Source organism: Homo sapiens, chromosome 10 (genome assembly GCF_000001405.40).
Source record: "Homo sapiens chromosome 10, GRCh38.p14 Primary Assembly".
Taxonomy (NCBI): Eukaryota; Metazoa; Chordata; class Mammalia; order Primates; family Hominidae; genus Homo; species Homo sapiens.
In genome coordinates this window covers 7,156,837-7,174,022 of record NC_000010.11, presented here as the reverse complement: position 1 = coordinate 7,174,022, position 17,186 = coordinate 7,156,837, and the positions used below count along the sequence as shown (strand labels likewise).

Sequence of the window (17,186 nt, the reverse complement as noted above, 5' to 3'; positions counted from 1 at the left end):
GAGGAGGTGGGACATAGAGGGTCTTAGGCCTGAAGGAAACCTATGCTTGTTAGTCCTGATGGTCTCATTTTGTAAGTAAGGAAATTGGGGTGCAGAAAGGATAGGTGACTTACCTGTAGGACAAAGCCCACGACTCAGTACTGTGAGAATGCACTAAAATCATGCTCCCTGCAACGGGGCTGCTGCAAACCAGGGGTGGTGCATTTGCCATTTTGCTTTGGCCCACCCCATTCGTAGATAAAGGTTCCTTGGCTGCATTCAGTTATTTTGTGGCTCATGGGCATCACATAGTGGGACGGTTGAACCTTTTATTAATGAGTAGGCGTCTGGGTCGTAATTGAATGCTGGATCCTTAGTGGTGGTTTTCATTAGCTGATGATACATTTTGTTTATAAAAAACATTAATCACTACTAAAGTTCAATAAATAATTTTTGAATTAAGATGTACACCTGTGTCTCTGCTGTAGAATTCAGAAGCAATGTGAGTCCCAGCAAATGAGAAGGAAATAAAGTATACAATGATGTAATAGAGAAGGAACTCTGAGAAGAGGAAAAGTGCTTGGTGAATTTGGCCCACGTGTTCAGGATCATAGCTTATCTTGGTCGGACCAAGAGCTGGGGGAGTCCCTCATGCCAGGACCACGCCAGCAGATGTTCACCCAGTGCTTGCTGACTGACCAGTCGCTCAAGATTCAGACTTGGGAGCAGGTGTCAGAGCACTCCGGTGGATGTCATTGCCACCACTGTATGCAGTGTCTGGGGTCCAGACAGGGATAAACTCCCGTGGGAACTGTGGACACCTTTGTCTCTTTCACCTTCTGCAGAAGTCAGCTCTGGCTTACAACAACATACCACAGACCCTGAGCTTTCACTGCGCACACTTACCTCCCACAGTCCTGGAAGCTGGAAGTCCAAGATCAGGGTGTCAGCAGCTTTGGTTTCTGATGAGATCCTTCCTGGGCCTCAGGCAGCCACCTGCACCCTGTGTCCTCATGGGGCCTCTCCTTTGGGTCTTGGGTCCTTGGTGTCTCTCCTGGACACTCTTAGGACCTCATTAATGTCCTATTGGATTAGGGCCCCACCCTTGTACACTCACTTTGGGGGTTCGGGACATCCAGATACACTCACTTTGGGGGTTTGGGCTTCAACACTGGGGACGGGCCAAGTTCAGCCCGAACACCTTCCAGACCTGAAGCTTTGGAGCAGTGCTTCTCCTGTGGGTCTGTTTTCTCAGAATGACTTCGTAAGGCACAAATGAACTATCAGATGAAAGAATCGTTTCCCTTCTTTCTCTCTCCTCTCTCTGTTCATGTCTGTGTGTGTGTATAGCCTTCAAAAGTTTCTCATCTTCCTTCCTACAGCCTATTACTATGGAAAGAGAAAGAAGATCTCCAAGCCCCCCATCGGGGAAAGCAACCCCGACAGCGGACACCCCAAACCCGCCAGGCGGAGGAAGCGACGGAAATCCATTTTCGTGCAGAAGAAACGGAGGTCTTCTGCCGTGGACTTCACCGCGGGCTCGGGGGAGGTATGTTCTGCCCGGGGCACCTGCCAGCCTGTAGCTCTGTCATCTGGCCCTGGCCGGCAAGTGTGGCTGCTTCACAGCAGAGGTGGCCCTGGAGATTGTGGCAAGATGGTCAGAAACACTGAAGAAGAGCCCCCTCCTCCTTACTTGCTGAAAACAAATGTAGTGTGTCCAGCTGCTTTGGCTGGGAAGGGCCTCGTAGGGCCCACGGGTGGGACCACTGGCTCCATTTCCGAGGGTTTGCTAGGTGGTCTGCACTGGGCCCAGGGTCTGACCGCGGGGCCACCGCTACAGGCCCCCGGGCCACCAGCCCCTTAAATGCCTTTTCCTCCTTCCCAGGAAAGTGAAGAGGAGGACGCTGACGCCATGGACGATGACACCGCCAGTGAGGAGACCGGCTCCGAGCTCCGGGATGACCAGACGGACACCTCGTCGGCGGAGGTGCCCTCGGCCCGGCCCCGGAGGGCCGTCACCCTGCGGAGCGGCTCAGAGCCCGTGCGCCGGCCACCCCCAGAGAGGACACGAAGGGGCCGCGGGGCGCCGGCTGCCTCCTCAGCAGAGGAAGGGGAGAAGTGCCCGCCGACCAAGCCCGAGGGGACAGAGGTGATGCCCGGGCGTGGGGACAGAGGGCTTCCCGCTGGGTCTGAAGAAGCACACCTGTTACACTTCAGGGCCACGATGTGGGGAAACCTGTTTAAAATACCTCCAACAGCAGCAGCTGCTCTAGCTAGTTCCCAAGTCAGGAACAAAGGCTGGCACTTCACCTCTGGGTGGAGGGGCCTTTCGGCATCAGAATGGAGTGCCCAGGGTGGAGACAGCGCCTCTTTCCTGGACGGCTTTAGTGCCACCTGGGTTCTTGTCAGGAGGAGGGCACAGTCCTCAGTTTCCTTTGAAGTCTGGGTTTCCAGAAATTCCTTCCCCGCATCTCCCCTGACTGCGCTGTGTCTTGCTCCCACGTCCCCTCTATAGGACACCTCTGTGATGTTTTAAAATATTTAATCAGTGTTTCAGGTCTCCCCTAGCCCCATGGGTGGTGTGAGATCAGCAGAAAGGGCCACTGGCACCACCATTACAGAAACACTGGGGGACACTGTCTCGTGTCTGCTTGGACGTGCCCCTTGTATTTCTCCTCTTTTCTCTAATCAGAGATGCTTCGTTCATAAGCAGGCCCAAGGTTTCCTGAACTAGGGATGCAAGAGCGACTGTCACTGTGCCTGCCTTCTTCCATCTGAAGGCACATGAGTCATTGCAGGGGGCATCATCACTGAGCCAAGAACTTTCTCAGGGACTGAGAGTGTGTGCAGCTTTTTCAGGTGCCCAGTGAGGGAGCAAAGGGAGGCAGTGGCTTCCGGCCAGGAACGGCCGAGGCCTGGAGAGTGCTGGAGAGGACCCAGCCAGCTGACTGTGCCGCAGCTGAGCTCCTCCTGCCCTTTCTCTGCAGGACACGAAACAGGAGGAGGAGGAGAGACTGGTTCTGGAGAGCAACCCGTTGGAGTGGACGGTCACCGACGTGGTGAGGTTCATTAAGCTGACAGACTGTGCCCCCTTGGCCAAGATATTTCAGGAGCAGGTACGGTGGTTGCCGCGTGTCGATTGTTTGATGTGCTGAGACTCTGCATCTGAAATGAACCTCGTGTCCTAGCCGGCTTCCTCGTGACACCTGCGAGGGGGTTCTTCGGCGCTGCTCGGCAGGTGTGCGAGACCCTTCTCCCTCCAAGGCCCCTGCTGAGAGCTGCCTGGCAGGGACGAGAGACAGAGCCTCATTCCTGCTCCTCTCAGGCCCCACCAGTGCCATGGTGGGGGGCGGAGGGGTGACTCTTCCAGGCTCTAGTGACACCACCCAGCAGGGGTGGGAGGTGCCTGTTGCTGCCAGGTGAGGGGTGCGAGTCCACGCTCCCCCTGCCATCTCCACCGACTCTACAGTGGGGGCTCTTTACCACCAGGCAGGGGTGAGAGTCCCAGTTCCCTGGCTGGCCCTTTCAGATGCCAGGTCAGTGGTGGGATGGGGTGCCCAGTTGCCACCTGGCCAGGCCGGAAGTCAGGATAGCACACTCTGCCTTGGCTGCTCTCAGTGGGGTCCGTCCAGCCCTCCCTGTGATGTTCAGCTGCAGAAGAGATGCTGCTGTCTCACGGTTTTTTGTCTTGCTGGGCCACCCCTTGGCCAGGCCTTTGTCTGGAGAGAACTGGTTTTGGTTGAGCCTCCTGTCAGTGCCTTTTGGCAAATCTGGGTTGCAGCTTCTTCAGCTCCAAGTCTCAGGGGCATGAAGCTCACACACAAACAGCAACCACAACAACCAGAGAGCTCAGCACTGTGCTGTCAGCTGGGGGCCCAGGCCCCTAGCCGGTCTGCCCTCCTTTCTCCACCTTCCAGAGTCTTCTGTTTGTGAATTTGTATATAATGCCCATGGATCTTACTTAGGCCTAGTGGGAGAAGGAGGGAACAGTGTATCCACCTGGCCTGCCCAGAGCAGAAGCCCGCTGGCTGGTGTGTCGTACTGAATGCTGCTTTCGTCATTGTTTTCTTACCTTCCTCACTTCTTTCTGCATAAAATATTTTTAAGACCATGGTATGGTGATGGACAAATGCAATAACAGTCGATATAATTTCTACCTTAAAGGAGCCTATAGTCCAGCAGATGAAATGAGTATAGTTAGCTAAAACACAAGATCATATGATGCTGTGTCCTAAGGAAGAAGAGAGGGTTTTTATTTACATTATCCCTTAAATTAATACGGAAACAAGTTGCCACTCTGCACACACACCACCTTGCATCCTGCCTCACTGGCCTTGCAGAAAATGCCAGGCTCTTGCTGTACTCTGTGCTTAATTTGTTGAAGTTTCTTGCGTTGTCCTGGTGTAAATATCTGTGTTCAAAGACCTCATGTTAAAAAAAAAGTACTGTTTTTCATATAATGTTAAAGATAGGTTTATTCAGTCTCTTTTTAGATCATATAAATCAGTAGTCTAGAAAGAGGATATTTCCAGCATTAAATCAGGAAACATAAAAGGTCTGTGACTTCCTGTGTACCCAGAAAATTTCCCAGCTTTTCTCCCAAGTTCATGCAGCAATGAACTGGAAAAAGCAAATTAAAATGGTCTCCAGTGCCACCCAAAGAGAGTAGTTCTTTCCCCTGTGTCCCGAGAAGTCCAAGAGATGAAGTAGTTCATCCTATTGACAACCACTAGAACCTTCTGCAGACACCCACTAAGTTCATGCTGAAAGAATGATTAGGCCGGCCATGGCGGCTTATGCCTGTAATCCTAACACTTTGGGAGGCCGAGACAGGCAGATCACTTGAGGTCAGGAGTTCGAGACCAGCCTGGCCAACGTGGCAAAACCCTGTCTCTACTGAAGAAAAAAAAAAAATTAGCTGGGCGTGGTGGTGGGTGCCTGTAATCCCAGCTACTTGGGAGGCTGAGGCAAGAGAATTGCTTGAACCTGGGAGGGAGAGGTAGCAGTGAGCCGAGATCGTGTCACTGCACTCCAGCCTGGGCAACAGAGTAAGACTCCATCTCAAAAACAAGCAAAAAGAAAGAAAGAAAAAAGAATGATTGGAGGCAGAGGGAGTCACCTCCTCACCTTCTCACACTGGCCACCCTTCCTGTCTGGACAACTCTGAAAAGCAACCAGGGAGAGACTTCCTTAGACCTAAAGAACCTGGGTGATGAGCTTGTCCCTTTAAATAACACACAAACAGGAAAGAAAGACAATTGTAAGAAATACAAGGGCTTAGGTGATCGGGGGCTTATTGATAAGCCACATCTCCATTTTGAAAACAAAATTAAAGCAATAGGTTGAAATGCTGTGTAAAGCGCTGCCCAGCACAGCACGTTGCCTGTCTGGCATTTATTGACAGTGGTGCTGCGGCGAGATAAGCGTTGTATTCAAATACGTGACAAGCGCTGGTCATGCATGTTTGGTTGCGCTGATCACGCAGGTTTGGTTGCACTGATGCGTATCTGTCAGTCCCTGTGTGCATTCAACATACACCGATTCAGTCCCTGCGAGGTGCCTTCTGATAGCTAAAGATACAAGGTGTGGCATTCTGTATTACTCTAATGTTTTGGTTTTATTTTTAGGCTCAAATGCTTAGTTTTCACAATAAAAAAAAATTTAGTTAGGCCTGAATGAAGAGCAGATTTCTCATTTCTAGATCCCAGGTTAGGTATGAGGGCTTATACCTTGAAACGTCAATAGCTCCTGTGTCTGTCTACACTGTGTACAAGTTCTCAGTAATAAGCAAGAAAGTGAAACAAAGCTGGTATGGGGAAAAGCCTAAAGTATTGAGTCTTCCTTTCTTATATTCCTAAGCCCAGTTGATAACACCAGAGAAAAGTTTCATGCCTTCCCTAAGCTAAGCCTTCTAGGAAATGGAACACTGCCGACACTGTCCCCCTTGTAGAATCAAGTTGCTCTTTTTTTTTTTTGAGATGGAGTTTTACTCTTGTAACCCAGGCTAGAGTGCAATGGCGCGATCTCGGCTCACTGCAACCTCCGCCTCCCGGGTTCAAGCGATTCTCCTGCCTCAGCCTCCTGAGTAGCTGGAATTACAGGCACCCGCCACCATGCCTGGCTAATTTTTGTACTAGACAGAGTTCTGCCCTATTGCTCTTCTAATATTAGTAAAAGCCTTGCCTTTCATCCCTACTTGTTTCTCTTACGAGAGAGAAAAATAGATAGACTTTCATTGATCATCATCTCATTCCTGTGTAATTTCACATTTCACATTAGGCAAGTTCACCTGTTGGAATAAAAAGCCATTGCCCACTGGGCTGTCTGAAGTACATGGGCACTTGAGTCCTTTTCTGTCCCATCAGACCTTTAATTACTAATTTTTACTAATTGGTTCATCGTCATTTAGCCCAAATACTCCAGCTCTGAGTTGGTGAGGCCTCCGGTAGGTCACCGCAGGCATTGTCTGAGATTACAGGTGAGCTAGAAGGAACCCAGAGACTTTCTTCACTGGCATGCGAATGAGATCACAGTGCACAGCATGGTCATCGCTATGTGCACGCAGGCCCTGAACGTTATAAATGCAGAGATTATTATAATTTGCAAAAATTCTGAACTCCCCATGACCAGCGTCTGTGCCTTTTATTTCTGAAATGTTATGGCAACCGCTTAAAAAATCTATACTCCATAATCTCATGCTGCAAACCTGTACATTACACAGTAAAAATCCACTCATCTATAACTAAGCACATACAACACTCTAAATAAAATTTTACCTATGTATTCAGCTTTCATCAGTCAGAGACAGCGCAATAAGCAGACTGCTCAAATGCTCAACTGACCTTAATGAAAAAATTTCAGGATAGTTTATAGGTTTAGTCCAGATTAAGCTGTCCTTTCTCTACTTCTCTAGATCTCAATACCTCCATTAGGAACTACCAGATCCTCACCCGAGTGCTCTATCAAAATCGATTTAATTTTGCCCTGTGCTAAGCATGTCGTATATCTTATCATATTTCATTTCTTTACAATTAGTCCATTGATGGTAGTTCTGTGTTTAACATTAAAAGTGATCTGCCGGCAGCTCTCAGTTCTATAGGAACATGTTTATAAAAATCAAACCACCTGTGAGGTATGCTGTTACCTAAATAATCCTTGAAAGAAAAAATAGTCTTCCAGATAAAGTGGCTTTCTGGGCTCGTCATGATTTTACCTTTGGTGTCTCCCCAGTTTCCTGGAATTCTATGTTCCAGGGAACTAGCTGTGTTCTTTCAGTCCCTCTTGGCCTTAATAATTCTTACTGGTCCCTGAAGTCTCAGTTCGAAGCCCTTTCAGCACCCCTATAAGACTGGCTTGGTTGCCTGTCCTGTTTGAGCCCTTAGCTCTGCATCCATATGTTAATATCCCTGTATCCTAATAGTCTGTTTACTTGTCTGCCACCCTCCAGATTCATGGGATGTCCAGAGAGGGAACCTTTCCTTTGTTCACTGTGACATTCCCCAGAGGCCAGCCAAGTGCCTGCCACTTAGTAGATGCTCAATAAATATTGGCAAGTAAATACATGAGTGTGTGCATCTGCACTGAAATGTGGTACATGCATTGGCCACCTTCACTGAAATTTTCTGTAAAGAAAGAGTTACACGAATATTTTCGTGCTGATAGTCAGTGGTGATTGAATCACCATCATGCCCAAGTACAGATGTTAAAGACTGAGCTACAGTTTTCCCTTCAAAGTTTAATGTCAGAAAACTACAGTTCTCATGCCAACACTTTCTCTAACTAGCTATGTGATCATAGTTAGATTGGCTAGCTTTTCTGGGCATTAATTTTCACCAGGAAAGTAAACTTCCTGGGAAAGTAAAATAAGTTCTATTTCTATTCTTTCCTGTTCTATGGATGTCATTGAACATAATGGTTAAGCCAACTGTCCATGGTTTAATGACATCCACAGAACAGAACAGAATAGAACATCAGCCCTCTGCCTACTTAAAATGTGTTTTTATGAGGCCCATGGTACCTGGAAGACTTTGAGTCCCTACACCCATGCCCTCTTGGTGTAATTTGATGTATTACATGTGGATTTGGCTCTGAAAGTGGAATTGGCCTACAGGCCCCAGGCCAGAGGTCCCCTTGGTTTCTTCGCGACCTAGAGCCAAACACTTATTTCACAGTACTCCCAAATCCCCCCAGCTGCAATCAGCCTTTTCTGTAGCATCTGAAAAGAAAGTAAAATAACATGTATGAGCACTATAGAGCAAGGGAAAAATGATATAAACATAGCATGAAAATATAGTGACAGTTTTCTACAGTTTGTCTCCTGCTTTCAGTGTGTATACAAGACAGATCTGTTTACTTTGTGATTTGATAAGGTCACCTTTGGTCTTGGTTGAACGTGGCTTCGAGTTGCTTACATCATAGCTAGTGCTCATCTGTAATTTAAAAATAAAAAATGACACTCACATTGATACTTTTAAAGTTAATGTTGCATTTTTATTGCTACAGTACTTATTAGGGAATATTGTTGCTTTTGAATCTGATCTGAAGATAAATTATTCCTGCTCTTAACATTAGTCTTTTGAATCTGATCAGATGATGAATCTATGCTTGCTTAGAAGATTAGTCTGCTCAAGGCTACCATTTATACACACTTTGCCTTTTTGCTTTAGATATTTTCAAGACAGCTAAATAAACCGTTAGTTTAAGAAAATAAGCTGCCTGTGCGAAAGTCACTGACAGGTGTTGTCGGAGACGTATGATCTTGTGCTTTTGCTTGGCTATTAATGTCCTTGTGGCTTATGGCAGCCCTGGGTATAATTCTTCTGCAAGTGGCAGAAATTCCAGTATGTAGAGCTCACTTAATGCTCTCACGGTACCACTGATCATCATTGCCTGGGGCCTGCAATCTCTCAGACCCCTCAGTGACTCCCTCTGGACGATTGAGATCATCTTGGTAAATAGGAGGGAGGATTGCGGTTAAAGTCAGCAGTCCGGTCAAATGACATCTATGTGAATGAACCAGATTACTATAGGAAGCAAGCTGCTGAAGAGACAGAGATGTCCAGTGGAAGGGTCTTAGAGCTTTGGAGTGGGTCTTTGTATGCTTCCTCCTGCAGCAAATTCAACTGAACATTCATTGAATGAATGTCTTCATGCCCTGTGTGTAGGTAGAGAAAGGCTGAGGCAGGACACAGTGGGGCAACAGATCTGTGTACGAGCGACACCTCGCTCTGGGGAGTGTGTGTCTGTAAATGGTGTGTGTGTGTGTGTGTGTGTGTGTGTGTGTGTGTGTGTGTGTGTTTCCCTTTATGGAAACCTGTGCTGTCGTTGGCATATCTGTCTTGAGCATCTTCTCACCCATCCTAATGGTGAAATGCCAGACCTTGGCAGGGAGCTGAGGGAGCCTTGTCTTTTAGTAGAGATTCCTTTGCTTAGTGCTCAGATGAAGTCTCAGCATCACTTAGGGAGGACCTGGCCCTGCCTGGGGTGGAGAGTGACTTGCCCTCCCAGCAAGGGGCGATAAGCTTGGGAAGCAATTCCCGCAGCAACCCACCTGTTCCAGCTCTTTCTACCCACCAGGGTAGGTATGTGAGTTTCAGAGTAGCCAGAGTGCCCTTAGCCAAAAGCTCTTGTATTTGTATTGTTGTTTTTTGTTGTTGTTTAGAGAGTCTCCTGCTGTGTTGCCCAGGCTGGAGGGCAGTGGTATGATCACAGCTCACTGCAACCTCAAACTCCTGGGTTCAGGTGATCCTCCCACCTCAGCCTCTGAGTAGCTGGCATCACAGGTTTGCACCACCATGCCCAGCTAATTTTTAAATTTTTTGTAGAGACCGTATCTCACCGTGTTACCCAGACTTGTCTCAAACTCCTGGTCTCAAGCGATCCTCCAGCCTCAGCCTTCCAAAGTGCTGGAATTATAGGCGTGAGCCACTGTGCCCGGCTACAAAAAGATTTTAGTAACACAAAGATTAGACAGTCATCAAGCCGGGCTGGTATCTCTACCAACAATCCCCTGAATTGAATGAAACAAGAGCATCCTGTTGTCATGTTTGGCCCCGGACTGGAGCCTGCTGTGACGCATCTGTGTACCCCAGTGCACACTGCCCCTTCTCTAACCTGCCTTTCTTTTCCTGCAGGATATTGACGGCCAAGCACTCCTGCTTCTGACCCTTCCGACGGTGCAGGAGTGCATGGAGCTGAAGCTGGGGCCTGCCATCAAGTTATGCCACCAGATCGAGAGAGTCAAAGTGGCTTTCTACGCCCAGTACGCCAACTGAGTCTGCCCTCGGGAGGTGGCCCATTATTGCTGGGATGCGGTGTTGGTAAAGGTTTCCAGGACTGAAACTTTGATTTTCCGGGATATGTTAAATGGTACAGCCACTAAGTATCACCAGAAAACCAGAAGCCCAGGATCTTCTGCCTCCGCCAGCCTGTGAGCTGTTTCCATGTTTTCAAAGCACAGCAGCAGTCGCTTCTGGGGAGTGCCAGTTAAAGTCATGCATCAGACCCTGCCAGACGTGGGCCTGCTTCTTGGCTCACCCACGTTTTGCCTTTCTCCTGCCCCAAATCAGGCAGCTCCCTTGGAGCAGGGTTTCCTCAGATGAGGACTGCATTCTTTGAAAACAAAGAATGTCGCCAAGGAAGAAACCTCACGCCATGCTGTAGTGTTTCCTGTAATCACACGAGCACATTTATATATGCAGTTTCCCATGGATAGGCGTGTGACCCTGGTTGAGTGGCACTTGCGGTTTCATCTTGGTGGCAACTCCTTTGCAATGCAGCTGGCAGCGACATCCTTATAAAAACATGTGCTAAAGCTCTGTCCTCTGTTAGAGGTGCCTTTTAGGAATACGGGGAGTGAAGGAAGGCCGGCAGGCATCTCCATGCAACTAGATGGTTTGTTTGTTTGTTTGTTTGTTTGTTGTTCATTTTGTTGTGTTTTTTGAGACAGGGTCTTGCTCTGTCGCCCAGGTTGTAATGCAGTGGCGCAATCTCAGCTCACTGCAACCTCTCTCTCCCGGGTTCAAGTGATTCTCCTGCCTCAGCCTCCCAAGTAGCTGGGATTACAGGCACCCACCACCATGCCTGGCTAATTTTTGTATTTTTGGTAGAGACAGGGTTTCACCATGTTGGTCAGGCTAGTCTTGAACTCCCAACCTCAAGTGATCTGCCCGCCTCGGCCTCCCAACGTGCTGGGATTACAGGTGTGAGCCACTACGCCCCGGCCCAACTGGATGGTTTTTGATTGAAGCCTAGAACATCTGTAGAGACAAACTCTACCCAGTCTTTTCTAGACCCTCAACTATCTCCAGTGTTGTTGTTTAATCGTAGCCGGATCAGGGAGTGAGTCTTTTAGGCAAATGTTGGATTATATATCAAAGGAAAAGCTTAGTTTCAGAGAGGAGGAAGGGAAAGAGATGTGAGGGAAGCATTTCATCAACCAGCTACGTCCCCCTTAGAAGGATCACTGCAGCAGGTCACCGAGCAGGAGTCCCTCTGAGCGTCCCTTCTGTCTCGTTCTGCCCTAGCTGGCAGCATATGAACCAGGCATGATGCAGCAGGAGCAGTGAATCTGGAGTCAGCCACTTGGCACCCTGGTTTCGCTGAGAACAAACTCTGAGATCTTGGGTGACTTCTCATCACTCTGGACCTCCATTCCTGTGAAGTGACAGGTGTGGACCCTGAGGGTGCGGTGGTGAGCACACTGTCTCCTGCTGGCATTCACCCCACTCATGCTGGAAAGGAAGATCCAGATCGTACAAAAATTAGAAAAAGAAAGAATAAGAAGGGTCTGGTCCCAGTTCTGACTCGGCCATTCTTACAGCTCTTTCTGGCTTTGAGTTTGCTTGTGGAATTTCCTGGGCAGTTGTGTTAAATCCGCCAGGTCACGTGCAGACAAAGCTGTGGCTGCGAGAGTTGGCTGGCCTCTTGGACCAGAAGCCATCTCCATATCCTCATGAGCGATTCCATATCTCCACTCAGACCCTGTGGACTACAGTGTTCCGCTGTGGTGGCTGCCAAGATGCCTTCTTAAACTTATGCAAGGAAACCAAACCCTCCCACAGTTCCCAAGCAGACACTGGAAGCAGAGGCTTCTCACCCTTCCTGCTTTTTCACCACAATCACCTTGAGCTCGTCCCTTGGACTAGAGTCTCCACAGTTCCAGTAAAATTCTGCGGTGGGCTGATGAGCTGCTTGCATTTCTGTGACATTTCCAGATATGATTCTCAGTGGGATTTTGGAAACTTTGATTGCTCAAGCTCACCCTTCTTAACATTCTGTAATGGTTACAGATGAGAATGGAAAACACATATTTTATGGATGAGGCGTTTTGGTCTCCCCTGCAGTCGATTTCTAGAATCAAGTTTTAGAGTTCGGCTGATGCATCTGCCTGGGGACCTCAGATGGGAGGAGTGTGTCAGTTGTACCCCGACAGAAATGTCTCTGGGATCTGTGGCTGGCTTGCCCCGGGCATCTCTCCTTTAAGCTCAAGTTTTGAACTCTCTGCGGTTTTCCACCCCTGCCTTCTCAGCCACATGCTTTTGGCCTTAAACGCTCAGTCTTGTGGAGTTCAACTCTGTCAAACGATTGGAAAGGGCATCCATTTCCAGATCTTTGGCATTTTCCCCGCGCTGACTCTTTGATGATCCTTCACTGTGGCCTTTTCAAGCTCAGCTGTTCCTGTTGTATTTGAGACGAGGGTGAGGGAATGTGGTGGCCACAAAAGAACAGGGACTTGCAGCACAAATGTCACTTCTGTCTCCCTTTTCAGTGGTAGCACGGAGGAGGAGGTGCTGCGTTGGAGGGAGGGGATCCTCCAGGAGCTCTCTGGAGCCCATCTAGGAAGCTAGAGTGTGTGGCCCGCCAGGAGCTCAGGAAGGATACAGCCACTGTCGCAGGGGAAAGTGTTTGCTTCCCGTGGAGCCAAGCGCCCAAGACTCTCCGTATCCTTCACCCTGACAGTTTAACTTCAGCGTTTCTCTGTGCAGTTGCGGTCACCATGGGTGAGCACTGTCTGTGCACGTGCCAGGGAGGAGATGGCTGGGACCACTGCACAGGAGGGCGCAGCCTGGCGTCGCCATGAAAGTTGTCTCTGTGCCATCTCTCCGGTCCTTGAGGAGAGCCCAGAAAGATTTTAGGACCCAGGAGGTGCTTTTCCTCCAGCTGTTGCCAGTGTCCTTCTGAGCCTGGATTCTCCGGGGATTTCCGTCGTGGTGGATGGACTTCACATCAGCAGCAGTTCTGGTACAGAATTGTAATGTGTTTTCATTTCTCTGTAGGATTCACCTCTCACCAGCGTCTGTCTTAAAGGTAGGGCCAATTTCATGGAGCATTTTTCTGTGTGTGTCCTTGTTGCTTTTGCCAGAAAAAGTGGATTTGACATGCGTGCCCCGATGCCACCATAGCCCCTAGGCCAACAATGTCATGGTCTAAACACCAAAAAGTGATGCCCCGCATTCCTTCCCTGGATGGTACCGTTTCTTCTCCGTCTCTCTTTGATGATTCTTTGGGACCAAAGTCCTCTCCTTAGTGCGCCTACTTCCTGTGGGCATCATGCCACTTGGAACTTATTGGAACTGGCCCGGGAGACTCTGCAGTCTGCGCCGTTTGAAAACCCTGAGAAAGAGATGCCACCTCAACTTGAATCATGACAGCCCATCGCTCAGTCTCACCCTAAACTCATGGAGCTTGTTTCAGCTCCTCACTTCTTGACTGTATTTGTACTATGTTGAAAAAATATCCTGTCCACAAAGACATAAGCCTAACAACCTAGAAAAACAACAGGGTACTACTGGCATTACAGAACTTCTTTGCCTTTCAAAACAAAAGCAAAACACAGTGAACTTCACCACGGAGCTGCACAGCGTGGGGAACTCATCCATCACTTTCAAAATTAGAGTCATTTGATCCAAGTTGGAGTCAGACACAGTATTTGAGCTGCACGGCTTCTGGGTTCTCCCACCTTATTTGATCATATTCGAAAGATTATTTCCTGTGTTTGCTTTGATTTGTTCCTCAGTACATTAAAATGATCCACACCTTGAACACTGCCCTCTCTAGAAGGTTGATTTTGATCAGCCTTTTGAAGATGGGTGTCGTTTCCCTAACTTATCTCACAGAATTTTGAGTGTTGTATTTGGCAAGTTCTGAGATTTGCCTTCTGTCTTATGCCAAACACCCCTTTCTAAGAGCTGTCCCCGCTTAGTTTTAGAAGTACTAGGGGTTTTCATACTTATTTTATAGAACACCCATTTATATTTATTTCTGTATATAGAACTAAAAAAAACAGTAGTGTTAAAAATCTTTGTTGTGGTTTGAGCATCTTTGCTGCTTTTGGATTGAGATGGCGAATCAAGGCTTCACTTCCTCTCTCTTCTGTCTTTAGAAAGCTGTGATCGTGCGTGCAATTATTTGAAAGGCAACATAGTCAATTAAGAAACCTGTAGTTGTTAAGGAAGAAATTGTTGGCAAGATATCCATACTGCCCATATCTCGTTGGTGCAATAATTAAATAGCAAAGGAAATCTGTATTGGCAACTATTATAATTCAATAATTCTTTTGTTTACTGCCCTTTTCTGTTCAAGAATTTTCTGGAAATTACTCCCTTTCACATGGTTGAACTCTTAAGTTGACCAGTTCTCATAGCTCTATCACTAGAATGGTTTGCAGATACCCCAAACATACTATGATAAAATCAAATTGTGCTACTTTTGACCCATGTAATTTACCTAAAAGTTGTAATTGCTGACAGAGTACTGCCTTGAATTTTGGTTTAAAACCTCTCTAGTTTCAATGACAAGTAACAACTCAAATAATTCCATATTGTTTGAGGAAGAGGCCATAATCCTTCTGAATTGTTGGCACTAAGTAATGGGATTTGGCCCAGTAAGTATGACGGTCGTGTCGCCTAACCAACGCAGAGCAGTGCTTTTTGTGTGGCTGAAGCGATGTGCTGACGAAAAAAGGAAAATTCTAGGACAATCGTTGGCTAAAAATCACCTTAGGATGAAAAATTTGAGGCAAATTTTTTTAAATGACAGAAAAAGATAATCATCTCACTTGCTTGAAACAGGAGCCAGCATGATCTCTGGAAGCATCAACTATCCCTCGTCGTGATTGTTGAAAGCTCTTTCACTGTTTTGCATTCTAGTTTGAATAGTTTGTATTGAAATTGGATTCCTATCTTGTGTATGTTTTTGGTGCGTAAAAGGGAAAAATTGGTGTCATTACTTTTGAAATTTGCAGGACGAAGGGCATGCTTTTGGTTTGCTGTAAGATTGTATTCTGTATATATGTTTTCATGTAAATAAATGAAAATCTATATCAGAGTTATATTTTAATTTTTATTCTAAATGAAAAAAACCCTTTTTACTTCAAAAAAATTGTAAGCCACATTGTTAATAAAGTAAAAATAAATTCTATGGTGGTGTTTGGGTCTTTGTGTTGAAGGTCATTCAATATTATCTTTAGCGTCTGCATTAGTTATTTTGTTCTGAATTTTTTGTTTTGTTTTTGCCACACACTAAAGCCTTATTTCTAGGTTGTTAACGACCACGGCTCTCAAAGTCCTGTGTGACCTCTCAGAGTCACCTCCTAGCTCCAGAATGGAACTTTCTGGTCGAGGAACTTGTGTTTATTCTTTTTAGTTGTTAAAACATTCTCGTGTATCCTCACACAACTACCTCTAGCCCTCCCACTTTCAATCATTTCCGTTATTCTGGGATTTCCTGATGCCTTAGTAGAAAGACTGCTTTATTACTATGAGAGCAATAATTAAATAACCACATTTACATTTATCATTTTTCTTTAAGTGTCACACATAGGTTTTAGGCAATGAAGTTGGGATAGGAAGAGAGACCTTTGCCATCCTACCCCATCTCTCGGATCTCTCGCAGGCAGAACCTGTCCCCTTCCTCTGTCACCACAGGTTCAGGTAGCGTCTCCTAGGGACAGGGTTAAGGGAGAAGGAAAGCATCTCCTAGGGACAGAGTTGAGGGAGAAGAGGAGAAAAAGCACTGAGGTAACGGAGGTGGAGGAGTGTTGAACGATTTCTTTTTTTCATACATCCCAGATGATTTCAAGTATCTTGCTTCACCTTGTTTTTTACTTTATTGCTTTCTTTTTAGAGACAGGCTCTCGCTCTGTCACCCCAGAGTGCAGTGGTGCAGTCATTTACTTCTCTTTAAATATTATTTTTGCTCTGATGGCAATCACATTCTACATATAGAAATTTTTCTTTTGTTTTAATTATGGAAACTTTTTTTTTGAGACAGGGTCTCACTGTCACCCAGGCTAGAGTACAGTGGCATGATCACGGCTCTCTGGAGCCTCAAACGCCTGGGCTTAGGTGATCCTCCCACCTTAGCCTCCTGAGTAGCTGGGACCACAGGCATGCCACCACATCTGGCTGGGAAACTTTTTTTAATAGGAAAAATGAGGCCTAAGAGGGCAAAATGGGAAACATATTGTTCATTTCCTCAAAATACACCGGAAGCAAATAGATAAAGGGTGAAATGGCTGAGTAAATAGGATGGTTGTACTTCAATTTTGCACCTGAAGATCTTTGAGAAGAGAAAGACCAAAGATATAAGAGAGTGGAAGCTGAACTCTGTTTTGCACCTCTAAATTGAATGAATCAAGGCAAGAAAGAAAATCTGTATTTCTTTTCATGTTACCACCGAAAACCTATTTTTAATTCTTCTGCTCTTTAGTGAGGCTGTTTGCTCAGTTCACTGGAAGTTACTTCCCCTTTGTCTTGGGGTTTGTGCTGTGACTATTTCAAGTCTGTGAAAGAGCATGATGCTTACTGGAGTTTCAAGGACTGTGTTTAAAGAAATGCCGTTTATGTCAATGTGACCTTGGGTGATTCCATGTGAAGACTGGACATATTATCAGTTTGGTGAAAATACAACATCAAAATAATAGATGGGATGCAAAGGTTTACTTGGGGATAGTTTCATCAAGAGGTTTTTATGTTGTCAGCCCAAGCCTGGGTTATAACACATTCCATTTAATGCAGTTCATTTGTTGTGTCAAAGTATGTTGTTTTGTGTTCTCTATAACTAATATGTCTAAATGGTGCATCATAGTAATAAGTAAAAAGGAAACTCTTCCTTTGTTATTCTGAAGTCCGATCAACACACAGTGACCACTACCACCATGTCTTCCCACCAACCCCAAAATTTCTTTTATCATAGGTATTGCCATC

The 17,186-nt window shown here is 46.6% G+C and overlaps 1 protein-coding gene across 12 annotated transcripts in view, besides 1 other annotated feature; it reads left to right on the top strand.

Annotated features, from left to right (window-relative positions):
• SFMBT2 (Scm like with four mbt domains 2) overlaps positions 1 to 15,399 on the top strand; it is a 252,867-nt gene extending 237,468 nt beyond the window's left edge. For all 12 annotated transcript variants that reach the window (NM_001029880.3, NM_001387890.1, NM_001387889.1 and 9 more), the window contains 4 exons: positions 1,362 to 1,528; positions 1,865 to 2,128; positions 2,967 to 3,095; positions 10,113 to 15,399. In NM_001029880.3, coding sequence (NP_001025051.1) covers positions 1,362 to 1,528; positions 1,865 to 2,128; positions 2,967 to 3,095; positions 10,113 to 10,253 — 701 coding nt within the window. In that variant the 3' untranslated portion in view covers positions 10,254 to 15,399. The remainder of the gene's footprint in view (positions 1 to 1,361; positions 1,529 to 1,864; positions 2,129 to 2,966; positions 3,096 to 10,112) is intronic.
• Positions 3,100 to 3,600: an enhancer, noted in NCBI's record as "H3K27ac hESC enhancer chr10:7212385-7212885 (GRCh37/hg19 assembly coordinates)". NCBI's record gives its function as "activates a minimal SCP1, AML or CMV promoter by ChIP-STARR-seq in primed H9 embryonic stem cells {active_cell/tissue: H9 hESC(primed)}" and the evidence as "EXISTENCE:reporter gene assay evidence [ECO:0000049][PMID:30033119]".
• Positions 15,400 to 17,186: the final 1,787 nt, after the last annotated feature.